Source organism: Homo sapiens, chromosome 16 (assembly GCF_000001405.40).
Source record: "Homo sapiens chromosome 16, GRCh38.p14 Primary Assembly".
NCBI lineage: Eukaryota > Metazoa > Chordata > Mammalia > Primates > Hominidae > Homo > Homo sapiens.
In genome coordinates this window covers 75,176,831-75,196,927 of record NC_000016.10, presented here as the reverse complement: position 1 = coordinate 75,196,927, position 20,097 = coordinate 75,176,831, and the positions used below count along the sequence as shown (strand labels likewise).

Here is a 20,097-nt window from a genome sequence, read left to right as displayed (position 1 = left end):
TTGTACCAAGGGAGCTGCAGAATGGAGCCAAAAAGCGCTTGCAGGGACGGGGCACACGTGATGAGAACTGGGTGCTGAGAGAGCTGAACCAAGGGGAAAGCCCATGAAGCTGGAGAAAGGTGGGGGTATCAGTTCGGGAGGACTCTCCTAGGATACAGGACTTAATGCCTTGCTCAGGACCCTAGGGAATGGGCCACCGTGCTGCCGGATGGCTCCTAGAAGCAGGCAGAAGGCAGAGCACACTAAGCAAAGGAGAGGTGCTGGCGCTGCTATAAGATGGTGGAAAGAGGCGTTAAAAGGCTCAGAGGTGGGCAGTTGTGTGGACAAGCCCTGTGAGGCAGAACGCCCATGGGAAGGCCCGGAAGATTCATTCGTCTACGAAAGCAGGAATGTGACCATGCTGGTGAGAGGGCAGGCACAGCTAAGCTCATGGGGTGCTCCCCTCTAGAAGTCAGGGAGAAGGTGGGAGATGCTGCTATGGAACAGGCTGCTGGGCAGTGAGGGTGCTGGGAGCCTGAGATCATAAGACCAGGCAATGCCGACAGCTGGGGGCCTGCCCTGTGGCCCTATGGAGATGCCTAAGAGTTGGTCACACGGGCAAAACCAATGGCATTGCTCAAACTGTGCAAGCAGAGTCATGATGGGTGACGGGGGCTGGGTGGCCTCCATGAAACCATCTGGCTTTCTGTGGCACCGGAAGTTTGTCTCGGGCTGCTTTTCCCTTGACCTGAGGCTGGTGCTGCCCCTGTGTGCTCCCACAGGGCACCTGAGCTTCCTCTGTTGGAAACTAATTACTCCCAGTTGGACTCATCTGTTCACCCGACAGTCTTCAAGCTCGATGGTGGGCTTCGAGGCAGGAGCTGTTTCTCAGTGTCTCGTGAAGCAATAAGCTTAATCGCCCACAGGGCTTCTCCGAGTGCGAGCACCTGGGGAACCTTGTTAGCAATGCAGATTCCCAGGCTCCACGCCAGCGTACAGATTCAGAAATGGCATGGACAGGGCCCGGCCTTTAGTGTATTATACCTTCCAGGTGATTCTGATGCATGCTCAAGTGTAAGAATCTGATACACAGGAGTTCAGCAGCTGCTGGGAGAATGAGTCCCCGGGGTAGAGGGATGGGAAGGATATATTAAAAAAGAGAGGAGGTTAAGAGAAACGTCACCTCATTTTTGACCAGTAGTGGGGAAGTATTAGCTCAGGGAAGGCAGCACAGCTGTGAAGCTGTGTCACATCTGAAGACTGCTCCCTGGTAGGAGTCGGAATGCTGCCATGGAACATGCCAGAAGGTAGGAAATACAGTATCCGTTAAAGACCTTAGGTTTTAGGATCTGCAACTCTGGGTCCAAATCCTTTCTCTGCCATGGACCTGTCCCCATTCTATCCATTCCTGCTTCGCAGCCCCACCGAGGTCTGGGCTGTCTTTACCTTGGGCAAATCTTTCATTTTTTTTTCCAGAGACAGCGTCTTGCTCTGTTACCCAGGCTGGAGTACAGTGGTGCTATCATAGCTCACTGCAGCCTCAAACTCCTGGGCTCAAGCAATCCTCCCATCTCAGCCTCCTGAGTAGTTGGAACTCCGTGCACACACCACCATGCCTAGCTAGTTTTTCTGTTAAACTTTTTCTGAAGAGATGGGGTCTGGCGATGTTGCCCAGGCTGGACTAGAACTCCTGGCCCCAAGTAATCCTGGTGCCCCAGCCTCCAAAATTGCTGGGATTATAGGTATGACCCACTGTGCCCAGTCCACCTGTGTCTTTATATTTAAAATGACTCTTGTACTACATATAATTTGGCTTTGCCTTTGAATCTTTATCCCTTTGACAATTTCTGCGTTTTATTATGGTTGTTTTAGGTCTACCATTTTACTCTTCACTTTGTTCTCCCACTCCCTCCCCTATTTTGGCTCCTCTTCTTTCTTGCCCTCTTTTGTGTTAAAAATACTTTTTTTTGAGAGAAGTCTTGCTCTGTCACCCAGGCTGGAGTGTAGTGGCATGATCTTGGCTCACTGCAACCTCCGCCTCCTAGGTTCAAGCAATTCTCCTGCCTCAGCCTTCTGAGTAGCTGAAATGACAGGCACCCACCACCACTCCCAGCTAATTTTTGTATTTTTAGTAGAGATGGGGTTTCATGTTGGCCAGGCTGGTCTTGAACTCCTGACCTCAAGTGATCTGCCTGCCTGTCTCGGCCTCCCGAAGTGCTGGGATTGCAGGTGTGAGCCACTGCACTGGGCCTAAAAATGTTTGATTTCAGTTTTAATTTATCTACTAGTGTTTTGGATATACTGTTCCTTTTTTTCTTCAGTGGTTGCTCTAATACAGCCTTAACTTCTCGTATTCTTAGTATTGTAGCACATCACGCACCTTGAAAATTCTTTAACCTCTCTGAACTTCAGTTACTTCATTTATAAGACGAGAATGGTGACTTTCTCTCATGGGTTATCTGACTGCCGAATGAGAGAACTCAAGCCGCGTACACGGCCAAGGGCAGAAAAGCAATGCCTGTTGACTGTCATGGCTGATCCTAGTCCCGTCACTACTGTCAGAATGTGGTTCCAGTCATCAGCACTGGGCCTCCTGAGACCACACGGAGCCACCACTGAGCATCCCCAGCGGCTGACCCACTGCAGGGGGTCATTTGTCTACCTGCTGTGATCACCCATTCTGCTAAATGGCTGCCCCTCAGAGACACTGGTGTCTCACCAGGGCACCCCTCAGCTGCCCTTTCCTTGCCCAGGCCTGGCCATCCTGTGCCCCTTCTGCAGGCTGCTCCTGGGCCGGTAGACCCAAACCACCTGACGCAGCCAGGCCCCACACGCCATGGCCTGCTCCCAGTCACAGAAAAAGTCTGGCTTGATTTTTACCACTGCAGTCCTCCCTGTGCCCTTCAGATGCCTGGACTCTGCCTGTCCAAACCTCCATCTGCTGCCCATTCTTCTCACTCGCAGTGATGGCTTTAGCAATCTGCAGGGACACAGGCCTCCAGGGACACTGTCTTCTCACACTCAGCATCAGCCCCACAGAGTGGAAGTGCCAGCCCTCCCGGGGGCGGCCTGTGCAACCACTCCAAGTGGGTTTTGGGGAATGTGATTCTGGGCCTTTCTTTTCTTTGTGTGTGTGTGTGGTGTTGGTTTTTTTTTTTTTTTAAAGACAGAGTCTCACGTTGTCTCCCAGGCTGGTGTGGAGTGGTAGGAACATGGTTCTCGACCTCCTGGGCTCAAGCAATCCTCCCACCGCAGATTCCTGAATAGCTGGAGGCCAAGTAGGTGAGTCCCAACTTCAGACTTAGAAATAAAGACATAACCCAATACGCAGTTCAGTTATGAAAAATATCCATGGAAATGGAAAAAGATCTCTAAAATATCAGGATAAAAATGGGCTGTATGGCCAAATACAGTGAGCATGGACTCAGAGTTGAACAGGAAGAAGTCTCAACTGGAAATACACCTCATGAGCTGGGTTTTGTTCTTGGCATTGCTGCTTTCGGCTGGCTGCCTCACCAGTAGGATAAAAACCACTGCCTCCTAGGCTTGTGTGAGGATTAAATGAAGTACAGTTACATCTTGAGATACGCCCAGACTGCAAGAATTTGTCTTTAAGAGGAGCTTCACTTAAAAGCACTGTGGTTTATGAGGATTACAAGGCACTTCAAAAGAGCGCTGATCTTCCGTCGCAGGGTTTCACCATGGCCTGGGGCCCTAAGGAGCACTTGAAGCGTGCTGCAGTGCCGAAGCATTGGATGCTCGACAAACTAAAGGGTATATTTGCACCTCGTCCATCGACAGGTCCCCACAAGCTGAGGGAATGTCTTCCGCTGATCGTCTTCCTCAGGAATAGACTCAAGTATGCATTGACCGGAGATGACGTAAAGGAGATATGTATGCAATGCTTCATTAAAATTGATGGCAAGGTTCGAGTGGCTATCACATACCCTGCTGGATTCACGGATGTCATCGGCATCAAGACAGGTGAGCATTTCTGCCTGGTCTGTGACCCAAGGGCTGTGTTGCTGTTGATCGCGTTACAGTCGAAGAGGCAAAGTACAACCTGTGCAAAGTGAGGAAGGTGACTATGGGGATGAAGGGAATCCAACGCCTGGTGACTCATGATACTGGAACTATCCACTACCCAGATCCTGTCATCAAGGTGAACAATACTGTGCAGATTGATTTAGGGACTGGCAAGATAATCAACTTTATCAAATTCCACACAGGCAATGCGTGTATGGTGATTGGCGGAGCCAGCCTCCGTCATGTTGGTGTGACCAACAGGGAAGGACATCCTGGTTCTTTAAATGTGGGGCATGTGAGGGATGCCAATGGCAACAGCTTTGCCCTGAGGCTTTCCAACATTTTTGTCACTGGCAATGGCAGTAAACCTTGGATTTCCCTGCCCAGGGAAAAGGGCACCCGACTTACTATTGCTGAAAAGAGAGAGAAGAGGCTGGCCACCAAACAGCAGTGGCTAAATTGCAGTAGCAGCGTATCTCTCTCTTTTTTTTTTTTTCCTCTCAAATAGTGAATTCTTGTTTCTAAAAAAAAAAAAAAAGTTCTGATTTGAGGCTAGGCGTGGCGGCTCACTCCTGTAAACCCAGCACTTTGGGACACAGAGGTGGGTGGATCACTTGAGGGTCAGGAATTAGAGACCAGTCTGGCCAACATGGTGAAACCTCGTCTCTACTAAAAATAGCCAGGTGCAGTGGTGCGCTCTTGCAATCCCAGCTACTTTGGGGGCTGAGGCAGGAGAATCTTTTGAACCTGGGAGGGGGAGGTTGCAGTGAGCTGAGATCACGCCACTGCACTCCAGCCTGGGCGACAGAGCGAGACTCCATCTCCAAAAAAAAAAAAGATGTGATCTGGATTTTTAGAGCCTTGGGAACATGCAGCTAATGAGAGTAACCCCTGTGGTCACCTTCCTAGTTGTAGAGTGGGATGTGCGAACTTCTCAGCATTTGTAACTTGCTACCTTGTAGGGACAACCCTGGCACTCCTTCCATTGTTTCCATTGACTTTTCTGCCTCTACTACTTTACCTTTTTGTATAAAGGCTTCTCTTATGTGAAGGATGGATGTCAAATATGCTTTCTTTGATAGTATAGTCTCAAGGGTACAATGCAGCTCTGAAAGAGCTGGAGAAGTGTAGTGATATAGTTCGATGTTCGTCTCTGTCCAAGTCTCATGCTGAGATGCCATCCCCAATGTCGGAGTTGGGGGCTGGTGGGAGGTGTTTGGGTCATGAGGGAGGACACCTCATGGCATGGTGCTGTCCTCAAGATACTTCTTGGGAGAGCTGGTTATTTGAAAGCGTGTGGCACCCCCTCCCCCTGCTCCTAATTTTGTCATGTGATGTGCCTGCTCCCCCTTCACCTTCCGCCATAATTGCTAGTTTCCCGAGGCCTCCCGAGAAGCTGAGCAGGTGTCTGCAGAACCATGAGCCGATTAAATCTCTTTTCTCGGCCAGGTGTGGTGGCTCTAGCCTGTATTCCCAGCAGTTTGGGAGGTCGAGGCAGGTGGACCACCTGACGTCAGGAATTCGAGACCAGCCTGGCCAACATGGTGAAACCCCTTCTCTACTAAAAATACAAAAATTAGCTGGGCATGGTGGTGGGTGCCTGTAATCCCAGCTACTGAGGAGGCTGAGGCAGGAGAATCGCTGGAACCCGGGAGGTGGAGTTTGCAGTGAGCCAAAATCATGCCACTGCACTCCAGCCTGGGTGACAGAGCAAGACTCCATCTTAAAAAAAAAAACAACCAAAAAAAAAAAAAAACTATTTTCTTTATAAATTACTCAACCTCAGGTATTTATAACAATGCACAAACAGCTTAATGTATGCAGACAGCCATTTTATAGGGTAATTAAGGGACCTTGCTTGTGTTGTGCTGTGTTAGCTGAGGTCAATTATCTGTGCCCATTTTAATGGGTTTATGGTGTTTTAGGATAAATGAGTGTATTTAGGGACTAAGGTGTGCATACAGATTTTTCCACCGGAATTAATGGCAATTATATTCTCCACTTAGGAGAATTCATCCTAGGAGGGGTTTTTAGGTACAAATTACCCCTTTAAAGCAGGAGAATGTAGGTGAAAAATACATCAGACCTCACAACACAAAGTTTTCTTAAATGTTTTTATGTTTTGCTTGTTTTTGAGACGGGGTTCTCACTCTGTTACCCAGGCTGGAGTGCAGTGGCGCAGTCTCTGCCTCCTGGGCTCAAGTGATCGTCCCACCTCAGCCTCTTGAGTAGCTGTGACTACAGGCATGTGCCACCACATCTGGTTAATTTTTATATATTTTGTAAAGACGGGGGAGTCTCACTATGTTGCTCAGGCTGGTCTTGAGCTCCTGGGCTCCAGCAATCCACCTGCCTTGGTCTCCCAAAGAGCCGGGATTACCGGTGTCAGCCACCATGCCATCATTAAATATTTAATAACTGGAGATATATCTAGAAATAATGTAAATGTATACAAATATACATACTGTCTTGGGTGTGACTGGCTGGGGCCGGTATCACAAGCAATAAAGGAATTCAAGATAGTTGCAGGAATAGAAAGGCAGATTTATTAGAGGGAGAGTATGGGCTGGGCACGGTGGCTCATAACTGTAATCCCAGCACTTCAGAAGGCTGAGGCAGGCAGATCACTTGAGCTCAGGAGTTCGAGACTAGCCTGGGCAACATGGCAAAAATCCTCCTCTACCAAAAATTAAAAAATTAGCCAGGAGTGGTGCCTCGTGCCTGCAGTCCCAGCTACTTGGGAAGCTAAGGTGGGGATCATTTGAACCTGGGAGGCAGAGGTTGCAGTGAGGCGAGGTCGTGCCACTGCACTCCAGCCTGGATGACAGAACCAGACCCTTTCTCAAAAGTAGGAAGATACGTTGCAAGAGTACAATGGGCAGCACAGCAGAGATGGGGCTGCTTGCAAAGAGGCAGGGGCTTGAGGGACGTCTTACAGGTTCATGCCGGAGGGGGCTGTGTGCGGAGCAAATGGGATGTTGTGTCCACAGGTTGTATGATTAGCCTTCTCTTGGAACAGTTGCTCTCCCTCACCTGGGACCCCTTCCCTGTTGCTGCTGGCACAGCTTATCAGGACTCCACATTCCCCCTCTAACTGAACAATGCCCAAGCTCTGGCACTGGGGTGGCAGTTTCATTTTGCAGCTATTTCCTGCTGGCCTGGGGCATAGAGTTGACCCTACCTATGCCTGTTGGTCTGTCAGGAGACCCTGTGGGTCACTGTCCCGGGTTGTGAGGCCTGGGATGTTGGCTCTTGGTGGACAAGGGACTTGTTGGAGGAGGGGAGCCTATCAAGGTGAAACTGATGTCCAGCTGCATTCAGGGGAGACTCGTAAAGGTAGCCAGCATCCTCGGGGATACCGATATTCCATCCTCAGCATCATTTGAAGGTGAAACTGTTGAATTCGTCCCAGTGCTGTTTGGGATCACCTGGCTTAAGATGTCCAGAGCAGGGTGGCTGGCTGTCTTCACAGGAGAATTTAGCGTGAGAAAGAGGGGGTCCAGGTTCCCCAAAGTGTGTGTAGGTTTGCCCTGGTTGAGCTTCTGCTGCCAATGGCACTACACGTAGGGTTTGGAACTTTTGGCCAGAAAGGATAGGAGGGGCCTTCCTCCCTTCCCAGCAAGGTAGCCAAACCTGTTTACTCCTTGGCCTCCAGGCTACACAAAGGAGTGGCCCTAGCCAGTGGCATGAATTGTCAGAGGGATACTAGAGTGTTTCCCCGGGAAGACAGAAAAGGAAAGCTGTAAACTGAAAAGGTGCTGTAAACTTTTACTGAATCAGGCAGCGGTGGTCGGTGGTCGGGTGGTCAGGCATCTCTCCACCGGGACCTTCTGGTCCACTAGGGAGTAGACCTGGCTGGGGACCTTCAGTTGTCTCCAGGCTTGGGCGCTGTCCACTGAGAGGCTGGAGTTGGAGAAGAAAGGGAGAGAGGAGGGGAGGACTCCCTAAGCAGTCCGCGAGCACTTCCCATATGGGCCATCAAAATGTCACGGGTACAACTGGCTACGGCTGGTGTGGCAGGCGGTAAAGGAATTTACTAAGACAGTCCATGGGGGATAAAAGGCAGACTTATTAGAGGGAAAGCACGAAGATATGTTGCAAAGGTACAATGTGCAGCACAGCAGAGGGGCTGTCTGCAAACAGACAGGGGCTAGAGGGAAGTCTTGGGTTGTGCAGGAACGACATGCTGCTGGGCTACGTGGGGAGTGAGGTATTGGGGAACATGCCAGCAGGTTATCTGTGATGAGCCATGTCTTGGAATAATTGTTCTCCCCCAAAGGAGACCCCTTCCTCGTTGCTTACTTTCCATATACATGTGTGGAGTCTTTATCTGAAAACTGGGCTAATACGGTACAATATTTTATACTGATTTATCTTCTAAATATTTATTAGAAAATATATCAATGTAGAAGCCACCATTATAGCTCTACTCTATTTAAAACCATACCAGCTTGGTAGTAAAGGTCCTTATCCCAGAGGTAAACGCTGTTACAGCTTGCTCTAAGTCCTTCTAAAGCTACCTTGCAAAAATTAAGAGTGAGAAAATCGTGACAATGAAAGGGATCTAACCTAACGAACTCCATCTTGCTCCTAACCTCCAAGCTGCCCTTGGTCATTCCTGGACATGGGCTGAACTAGCTTTGGGAGGAGTTTATTTATTTTTTATTTTTATTTATTTATTTTGAGATGGAGTCTTGCTCTGTCACCCAGGCTGGAGTGCAGTGACGTGATCTCAGCTCACTGCTAGCTCCGCCTCCTGGGTTCACGCCATTCTCCTGCCTCAGCCTCCCAAGTAGCTGGGACTACAGGTGCTCCCCACCACACCCGGCTAATTTTTTTGTATTTTTAGTAGAGATGGGGTTTCACCGTGTTAGCCAGGATGGTCTCAATCTCCTGACCTCATGATCTGCCCCCTTTGGCCTCCCAAAGTACTGGGATTACAGGTGTGAGCCACCGTACCCGGCCTGGAGTTTATAGTTTAACTTTGGAACAAAGACAACAGCCCTTTTGCAAAACAAACCCCCTTCTTGCCTGGGGACTAGACAGCCTTTGTAAGATTAACAAATTAGCCATGAGGTTAGAAATTGTGGTTTAGGAGTCTTGTAGCCAGAGGCCACAAGATTGCAAATCTCCCCATAACATCACTATTGTAAAATCTAAGATTGGTGCTCACATATCTTTCAGACCCTGCATTCTGATGTACCAGCTAGTGCCACCCAGAATGGTAATCTGGTCATGTCATTCAATAAGTTCTGTGATCCCACCAAGGAACAGAAGATGGCAAGAACCCACTTTGACCTCTTCTTTATTTATTTTTTGAGATGGAGTTTCACTTTTATTGCCCGGGCTGGAGTTTCACTCTTATTGCCCAGGCTGGAGTTCAGTGGCATGATCCTGGCTCACTGTTCCCTCCACCTCCTGGGTTCAGGCGATTCTCGTGCCTCAGCCTCCTGAGTAGCTGGGATTAAGGTGCAAGCCACCACACCCGGGTAATTTTTGTGTTTTTGTAGAGATAGGGTTTTACCATGTTGACCAGGCTGGTGTCAAACTCCTGACCTCAGGTGATCCACCCGCCTTGGCCTCCCAAAGTGCTGGGATTACAGGCGTGAGCCACCGCCCCCGGCTGACCCCTTATTTCATCTCTAGACCCAACCAATCAGCACACCCCACTCCCTGACCCCCTACCCACCAAATTATCCTTAAAAAACCCGAGTCTCCGAATTTTCAGGGAGACTGATTTGAGTAATAAAACTCCGGTCTTGGTCAGCCAGTTCTGCATGAATTAAACTCTTTCTCTATTACAATTGCCCTGTCTTGATAAATTGGCTCTATCTGGGCAGTGGGCAAGGAGAACATGTCAGGCAGTTATACTTCCTGGTTTTTGTCTAAGTTTATAACATACTTCCATATGTATATACATATTCTATAAAAAATGCTATACATAATATCTTGTAACATTCTTTCATTCAAAATTAGAAAATTAGAATTTTGTATAGAACAGACTGTATAATGAACACCCATACACTCTTCATCTAGATTAGCCAATTGTATGTTGTCACATCTTCCTTCCTCCATCTCATTTCTCCCCCTCCGTGTGTATGTGTATTTATGTGTATGTGTCCCTTGATAATCCATGAGGAACTGGTTCCAGGACCTCCTGCAGATACCAAAATCCAAAAGCTAAAGTCCCTGATATAAAATGGTATAGTATTTGTGATCTATGCACACCCTCTAGTATACCTTAAATCATCCCTACTGCTTACAATACCTAATACAATTTAAATGCTCTATAGTCATTATATTTAGGGAATAATGACAAAAGGTCTATGTGTGTTCAATACACATGCAACCATCCATTTTTTTCTTTGTTCCCTGAATATTCAACCCAAGGTTGGCTGAATCCTCAGATGCAGAATCCATGGATACAGAAAGCCAACTGTCTGTGTGTGTATACATACATTTTTGGCAACTTGCTTTTAAAACTCTATCAAACATTTTTCCAGGTCAACACAATTAGTCTGACTACTTTCACTCTTAGGAGCTCTATGGTATCTACCGTATGTAAGGAACCATATGGTATTCAAATATTCCTCATATGACCTCGTGGCAAGGATCAAGAAGGAGCCTCAAGTGCTCCAAGTCAGACCCACCTCCCCAGGCTTCCTCATTTCTATTAGCAGGAGTGAAGAAGGGCCCAGAACTCTGGGTGCTCTTGGCAAGATGCCTACCCTTTCCTCCTCCCAAGACTCCAGCTTCTCCACCATTTTCTGAGACTATCAGGTCTGATCTCATTAAAGCTTTTGTCCTTATTGGCTCAGTTATAAGAGGCTCAGGATTCCTGGGTCACCCCCTGCCTGATCCCACTCTAAACTTCCTCCACTTACATCCCTTTCTGAGTCCATCTCTTGCTTCTCCCCAACTTCTAGAGATCTTCCTCTGTGCCCTCTGGAACTCACCACAGAGGTTAGGGCAGAATTCCCTATGTCTTTTTTTCTTTGAGATGGAGTCTTGGGCTGGGCGTGGTGGCTCATGCCTGTAATCCCAGCACTTTGAGAGGCTGAGGCGGGTGGATCACGAGGTCAGGAGTTCAAGAACAGACTGAACAACATGGTGAAACCCCGTCTCTACTAAAAATACAAAAATTAGCCGGACGTGGTGGTGCATGCCTGTAGTTCCAGCTACTTGGGAGGCTGAGGCAGAAGAATCGCTTGAACCCGGGAGGCGGAGGTTGCAATGAGCCGAAATTGTACCACTGCACTCCAGCCTAGGGGACAGAGCAAGACTCTGTCTAAAAAAAAAAAAAAAAAAAAAAAAGAGAGAGAGAGATGGAGTCTTGCTCTGTCCCCTAGGCTGGAGTGCGGTGGTGCAATCTCGGCTCATTGCAGCCTCCGCCTCCCAGGTTCTAGTGATTCTCCTGCCTCAGCCTCCCCAGTAGCTGAGGCTATAAGCATGCACCACCACTCCTGACTAATTTTTGTATTTTTTTTTAGTAGAGACAGAGTTTCACTGTGTTGGCCAGGCTGGTATCGAACTCCTGACCTCAACTGATGGACCAGCCTCGGCCTTCCAAAGTGTTAGGATTATAGGCGTGAGCCACCGTGCCCGGCCAGAATTTCCTATGTATTAATGAACATTCCCTATACTTTTCTACTTCACCCTTTAACACTGGTCCTGGGGGTGGGAAGATGTCCTTCTCGCTGCTTCCAGACCATTCTCCTTTCATCTTCTCTGACACCCCATGGCATGGATGCTCAGGCCATCAGACCGTACCACGTGATACTTAAAGCAGTCATCTTCTGATCCCTGGATCTCTTAAATTTTAGTTCCCACTCTAACACTACCATCTGAATTGATAATTTTAATGCTTATGTAGATTTAATACTTGGCTTTTCAGTTTCTTCATCTCCACTTTTCCAATGAGCCTGTACTCCTCCCTCCTTCAGCCAGTTATTCTCGGACACATTAATCTTGCTACTAGTAATAGCAACCTGTTTGTAATGTTTCATGCATTCCTCACTCAACCAGATTTTCTCTAGTACCCTAACAATCCTACCCCATGGAAACATAGTCTTTTCAGTCTACCACTTTTCACACTCCTTTATCCCCTCAAGTTCTTTAGATTTGTTTTTCATTAACTTTTAAAAACTGACTTATAAAATTGTGTTTATTGGGGCCAGGTGTGGTGCCTCATTGCCTGTAATCCCAGCACTTTGGAAGGCCAATGTGGGTGGATCACCTGATTGGCCAACAAGGCAAAATTCCATCTTTACTAAAAATACAAAAATTAGCCAAGCATGGTGGAGCACGCTTGTAGTTCCAGCTACTTGGGAGGCCGAGGCAGGAGAATTGCTTGAACCTGGGAGGTGGAGGTTGCTGTGAGCCGAGATTGCACCACTGCACACCAGCCAGGGTGACAGGGCAAGACTGTCTTAAAAAAAAAAAAAAAAAAAAAAAAAAAGTATGTTTATTGTATCTAACATGATGTTTACAAATGTATACATTGCAGAATGACTAAATCAGACTAATTTACATATGTATTACATGTATTTTTGTGGTGTGAATATTTAAAATCTACTCATTGATTTTTCCGGAATATATTACAGTCAGGCACAGTGATACAGCCTGTAGTCCCAGCTACTTAGGATGCTGACGTGGGAGAATTGCTTGAGCCCAGGAGTTTGAGACCAGCCTGGGCAACATAGTGAGACCTCCTCTCTTAATAGATCTCTCTTTTTTTTTTTTTTTTGAGACAAAGTCTTGCTCTCTCGCCCAGGCTGGAGTGCAGCGGCACGATCATGGCTCAGTGCAAGCTCTGCCTCCTGGATTCACGCCATTCTCCTGCCTCAGCCTCCTGAGTAGCTGGGACTACAGGCGCCCACCACCACGCCCGGCTAATTTTTGTTTTTGCATTTTTAGTAGAGACGGGGTTTCACCGTGTTAGCCAGGATGGTCACAATCTCCTGACCTCGTGATCCGCCCGCCTCGGCCTCCCAAAGTGCTGGGATTACAGGCTTGAGCCACGGCGCCTGGCCAATAGATTAAATTTATTCCTCCTATTAAACTGAAATTGTGTATCTTTTCACCAACATTTCTCTTATCCCCTCCCACACCCCTAGCCCCTGGTAATCACTATTCTGTTCTCTGCTTCTATGAGTTCAACTTTTTTAGATTCCACATATAAGTGAGGTCATGTGGTATTTGTCTTTCCATGCCAGGCTTATTTCACTTAGCATAAAGTCCTCTAGGTTCACCCATGTTGTGGCAAATAAGTTCCTTTATTTTTTGAGACAGGGTCTTGCTCTGTCACTCAGGCTGGAGTATAATGGTGCAATATTGGCTTGCTGCAACCTTTGTATCCAAAGCTCTAATGATCTTGCTGCCTCAGCCTCCCAAGTAGCTAGGACTACAGGCATGTGCCACCATGCCTGGCTAATTTTTGTTTTGTATTTTTAGAGAAAGGGTTTTGTCATGTTGGCCAGGCTGGTCTTGAACTCCTGGACTCCAGCAATCTACCCGACTCAGCCTCCCAAAGTGCTGTGGTTACTGGCATGAGCCACTGCACCTGGCCAGAGCTTCCTTCTTTAAAGCTCAGTAGTATTCCATTGTGTATGTAGAACACATCTTCTTTATCCATTCATCCATTGATAGTTAGGTTGATTTCATATCTTGGCTGTTGTGAATAATGCTGCAATGAACATGAAAGTGCAGATATCTCTTTGACAGACTAATTTCGTTTCCTTTGGATATATACCCAGTAGTGGAATTGCTGGGTCACATGGTAGTTCTATTTAAGTTATTGAGGAGCTTCCATAGTATTTTCCATAATGGCTGTACTAATTTACATTCTCATCAACTTTGTGAGACTTCCTTTTTCTCCACATCCTCACACACACTTTTTTTTTTGGAGACGGAGTTTCGCTCTTGTTGTCCAAGCTGGAGTGCGATCCTGTGATCTTGGCTCATTGTAACCTCTGCCTCCCGGGTTCAAGCAATTCTCCTGCCTCAGCCTCCCAAGAGCTGGGATTACAGGAGGTGCAGGGCACCACGCCCGGCTAATGTTTTCTATTTTTAGTGGAAACGGGGTTTCACGATGTTAGCCAGGCTGGTCTCGAATTCCTGACCTCAGGTGATCCACCCGCCTCGGCCTCCCAAAGTACTGGGATTATAGGCATGAGCCACCGCACTTGGTCCATATTTATTCACTGTTTTGCTAATAGCCATTCTAACAAGGTGTGAGGTGATACCTCATTGTAGTTTTAATCTGCGTTTCCCTGATAATTAATGACACTGAGCATTTTTTCATATACCTGTCAGGCATATGTAAGTCTTCTTTTTGAGAAGTGTCTATTTAGGTCCTTTGCTCTTTAATTGGGTTATTTGTTTTCTTGCTATTGAGTTGTCTGAGTTCCTTATATTTTAGATATCCCTTATCAGACTATGATTTGCAAATAATTCTCCCCATTCTAAAGGTTGTCTTTTCACTCTTTTGATTGTTTCCTTTTCTGTGCAGGAGCTTTTTAGTTGGATGTAATCTCATTTGTCTGTTGTTGCTTTTGTTGCCTGTGCTTTTGAAGTCAGATTAAAAAAAAAAAATTGACCAGATCGATGTCATGGATCCCTGCTTTCTTCTAGTCGTTTTACAGTTTCAGGTCTTACATTTAAGTCTTTAGTTTATTTTTCTGTATTTCGTTATTTTATATGTGAACGTCCAGCATTTACTGAAGAGATTGTCCTTTGCCCATTATGTGTTCTTGGCACCTTTTGTCAAGAATCAGTTGACTGTAAATGCGTGGATTTATTTCTGGGAGCTCTGTTCTATTCCGTGGGTCTATGTGTCTGTTTTGATGCTAATATGCTGTTTGGTTACTATACCTTTGTAGTGTATTTTGAATTCAACTAGTGATATGGTTTGGATTTGTGTCCCCACCCAAATGTCATGTCGAATTGGAGGAGGGGCCTGGTGGGAGGTGATTGGATCATGGGGGTGGATTTCTCCCTTGCTGCTTTCCTGATAGTGAGTTCTCATGAGATCTAACGGTTTACAAGTGTGTGGCACTTCCCCCTTTGCTAGCATGCTCTCCGGTTACCATGTGAAGAAGCTGCTTGCTTCCCCTTTGCCTTCCACCATGAGTATAAGTTTCCTGAGGCCTCCCAGTCATGCTTCTTGTTAAGCTTGTGGAACTGTGAGTCAATTAAACTTTTTTTCATAAATTGCCCAGTGTCAGGTAGTTCTTTATAGCAGTGTGAGAATGCACTGATACAGTTAGTATGAAGCCTCAAGCTTTGTTCTTTTTGTTCAAGACTGCTTTGGGTATTTGGGGTCTTTTGTGGTTACATACAAGTTTTAGGATTGTTTTTTCTATCTCTGTGGAAAATATAATTGGAATTTTGATAGGCATTGCATTGAACCTGTAGATTGCTTTGGACAGTGTGAACATTTTAACAATATTCCTCCAATCCAGGAACACAGGATAGTTTTCCATTTAATTGTATCTTCAGTTTCTTTTATCTGCGTCTTACAGTTTTTGGTGTACCAGTCTTTCATCTCCTTGGTTAAATTTATTCCTAAGTATTTAACTTTGTGTAGCCATTGTAAATGGGATTGTCTTACTGACTTCTTGTATAGATAGGTCATTGTTTATATAAAACACTACTGATTTTTGTACGTTGATTTTTGTATCCTGCAACTTCATTCATTCATTAGTCCTGAAAGTTTTCTGGTGGACTCTTTAAGGTTTTCTATATGAGATCATAGCATCTGCAAACATGGACAATTTACCTTCTTTCTTTCCCGTCTGGAAGCCTCATTTTTTTCTCTTGCCTAACTGTTCTGGCTAGGACTTCCAATACTGTGTTGAATAGAAGTAGTGAGAGTGGACATTCTTGTCTTGTTCCTGATAGTAGATGAAAAGCTTTCTCTTTTTTTTTTTTTTTTTTTTTTTTTTTTGACACAGACTCACTCTGTTGCCCAGGCTGGAGTGCAGTGGCTCCATCTTGGCTCACTGCAACCTCTGCCTCCCAGGTTCAAGCAATTCTCCTGCCTCAGTCTCCCAAGTAGCTGGAATTACAGGGCTGCACCACCACACCTGGCTAATTTTTGTATTTTTAGTAGAGACAGGGTTCCGCCATGTTGGCCAGGCTGGTATTGAACTCCTAACCTCAAGTGATCCGCCTGCCTTGGACTCCCAAGGGACTGGGATTACAGGTGTTAGCCACTGTGCCCAGCCAGATAAAAAGCTTCCAACTGTTCACTATTAAGTATGTTAGCTGTGGGCTTGTCATATATGGCCTGCCTTGTGCTGAGGTACATTCTTTCTATATCTATTTTGAGAGTTTTTATTATGAAAAGATGTTGAGTTTTGTCAAATGCTTTTTCTGCATCTATTAAGGTGATCAGAATAGATTTTGTCCTTCATACTGTTAATGTGGTAGATCACATTTATAGACTTGTGTATGTTGAAACATCCTTACATCCCTGGGATAGATCCCACTTGATCATAGTGAATTGTCTTTCAATGTGCTGTTGAATTTGGTTTGCTGGTATTTTGTTGAGGGTTTTTGCATCTATGTTCATCAGGGATACTGGCCTGTAATTTTTTTTTTTCTTCCAGTGCCCTTGTCTGGCTTTGGTATCAGGGTAATGCTGGCTTCATAAAATAAGTTTGAAGGTGTTCCCCCTTGTTCAATTTTTTTGGATGAGTTTGAAAAGAATTGGTATTAGTTCTTTAAATGTTAAGTAGAACTCAGTACTGACACCATTAAGTCCTGCGCTTTTCTTTGATGGATTTGTAATTCAGCCTCTTACTGAGTTTGTTGTTGATGTTGTTTTTGAAATGGAGTCTCATTCTGTCACCCAGGCTAGAGTGCAATGGCACAATCTTGGCTCACTGCAACCTCTGCCTCCCGGGTTCAAATGATTCTCCCTGCCTCAGTCTCCCAAGTAGCTGGGATTACAGATGCCCGCCACCATGCCCGGCTAATTTTTGTATTTTTGGTAGAGACAGGGTTTCGTCATGTTGGCCAGGCTGGTCTTGAACTCCTGACCTCAGGTAATCCGCCTACCTCAGCCTCCCAAAGTGCTGGGATTACAGGCATGAGCCACTGTGCCTGGCCTTTTCCCCACCCACCCCCCCTACCCGAGTCTCACTCTATTGCCCAGACTGGAGTGCAGTGTGCGATCTCGGTTCACTGCAACCTCTGCCTCCTGGGTTCAAGCAATTCTCCTGCCTCAGCCTCCAAAGTAGGGGGGATTACAGTTGCCCGCCACCACGCCTGGCTAATTTTTGTATTTTTAGTAGTGATGGGGTTTCACCATCTTGCCCAGGCTGGTCTCAAACTCCTGACCTCAAGTAATCCACCCGCCTCGGCCTCCCAAAGTGCTGGGATTGCAGGCGTGAGTCACCACGCCCAGCCTATTGGTTTTTCTGTTTCTTCATGATTCAGTGTTGGTAGTTTGTATGTGTTTAGGAATTTATCCGTTTCTTCTAGGTTCTCTAATTTGTTGATGTATAATTGTTCATGGTATTCTAATCCTTCGTATTTCTGTGGTATCAGTTGTAACACTTCAGCTTTCATTTCTGATTTTGAGTTGTCTTTTTTCTTACTCTACCTAAAAGTTTTCCAATTTTATCTTAAAAAATTCTTAAGGTTTTTTTCCTGTTGTCTTTTTCTAAGAAATGAATGAATAAATCCATGAATAATTTATTTCTGTTCTGATATTTTCTTCTAACTTTGGGCTGCTTTTTCTAGTTCTTTGAGGTATAGCATTATTTGTTCTCTTTTGATATAGGCATTTATTGCTATAAACATCTCTTAGAACTGCTTTTAGTGAATCCTATAAATTTTTTTTTTTTTTTTTTTGAGATGCAGTCTCCCTCTGTTACCCAGGCCGGAGTGCAGTGGTGCGATCTCAGCTCACTGCATGAATCCCATAAATTTTGGTATGTTGTGTTTCTGTTTTCATTAGTCTCAAGACTTTTTTTTTTTTTTTTTTTTTTTTTTTTGGAGACCAAGTCTCACTCTGTCACCCAGGCTGGAGTGCAGTGGCGCGATGTTGGCTCACTACAACCTCTGCCTCCCATGTTCAAGCAATTCTCCTGTCTCAGCCTCCCAACTAGCTGGGATTACAGGCATGTGTCAGGCACGCCGGGCAATTTTTTGTACTTTTTTATTTTTTAGTAGAGATGAAGTTTCACCGTGTTAGCCAGGATGGTCTCTATCTCCTGACCTCGTGATCCACCCGCCTCAGCCTCCCAAAGTGCTGGGATAACAAGCGTGAGCCACCGCGCCCAGCCTGTCTCAAGATGTTTTTAAATTTCTTATCTGACCCACTGATTAGGAGCATGTTGTTTAATTTCCACATATTCGTGCATTTTTCAAAATTCTTCCTATTACTGATTTCTATTTTTATACCACTGTGGTAGGAAAAAAATACTTGATATAATCTTAAATTTAAGATTTGTTTTGTGGCCTAATATACATCCTATCCTAGAGAAGTTCCTTGTGTGCTTGAGAAGAATGTGTATGCTGCTGCTATTGGATGGAAATTCTGTGTATGTCTCTTAGGTCCATTTGGTCTAAGCTGTAGTTTACATCTCCTTACTGATTCTGTCTGGATGATCTGTCTGTTGCTGAAAGTAGGGTATTGAAGTCTTCTACTGATATTATGTTACAGTCTCTCTCTCTCCCTTCAGGTCTATTAATATTTGCTTTATATATTTAGGTGCTCAGATGTTGAATGTATATAAATTTAGAGGTATATCTTCTTGATAAATTGACACGTTTGTCATATAATGACCTTTGTGTCACAATTTTTGACTTAAAATCTAGTTTATCTGATTTAAGTATAGCTATCCCTACTCTTTCGGTTTCCATTTCCATGGAATACTTTTTCCATCCTTTCACTTTCAGTATATATATGACCTTAAAGGTGAAGTGAGTTTCTTATAGGCAGCATATAAATGGGTCTTCAAAAATTTTACTCAGCCACTCTTTTAACCAAGGAATTTAATCCATTTGTATTTAAGGTAATTACTGATAGCCAAGGGCCCACTATTGCCATTTTGTTAATTGCTTCTTTCCTAGATCCTTTGTTCCTTTCTTTCCCTTTTGCTTTCTTACTTGTAATGACGTGATTTTCTTTGGTGGTATGCTTTGATTTCTTTTTTAAAATCTTTTGTGTATCTACTATAGATTTTTTGCTTTGTGGTTAGCATAAGGCTTACAGAAAATATAGTTATCATAGGATATTTTAAGTAGATAACAACTTTGATTGTAAACCAAACTACATGTTCTCTACCCCTTTCCACATTTTATGTTTTTAATGTCACAATTTACATCTTTTTATAGTGTGTATCCCTCAACATTTTATAGCTATTATTTGTTGATTAGTTTTTTTGAGACAAAGTTTCTTTCTGTCACCCAGGCTGAAGTGCAGTAGCACAATCTTGGCTCACTGCAACCTCCACCTCCTGGGTTCAAGCAATTCTCCTGTCTCAGCCTCCCAAGTAACTGGGATTACAGGCATGCACCACCATGCACAGCTAATTTTTGTATTTTTAGTAGAGACAGCGTTTCACCATGTTGCCAAGCTGGTCTTGAACTCCTGACCTCAAGTTATCTGCCCGCCTTGGCCTCCCACAAGTGCTGGGATAACAGGCATGAGCCACCGTGCCCAGTTCCCTTTAGTATTTCTTGAAAGATAGGTCTGGTGGTAATGAACTTCCTCAGCTTTGGTTTGTCTAGCAAAGTTCTTATTGCTCCTTTATTTCAGGACAGATTTGCTGGATACAGTATTCTTGGTCAGCATTTTTTTTTCCTTCAGCAGTTTGAATATGTCATCCCACTCTCTTCATAGCCTGTAAGATTTGTTTGGAAATCCACTGCTAGCCTTATTGAAGCTCCCATAAGTCATTTGCTTTATTTCTCTTGCTGTTTTCAGGATCTTCTCTTTGACAGTTTAACATGTACTCCTGTAGTCTTGTTAGGTCTCCAGTCAGATTCAATCCTTTCACCTTCCTATACCTGGATATTCACATATTTTCCCAGATTTGTACAGTTTATATCTTCCTTTCTCCCTGCCTTCCTCCCCTG

At 45.2% G+C, this 20,097-nt stretch overlaps 1 pseudogene; it reads left to right on the top strand.

Moving 5' to 3' along the window:
* Positions 3,659-4,531, top strand: RPS4Y1P1 (RPS4Y1 pseudogene 1; annotated as a pseudogene).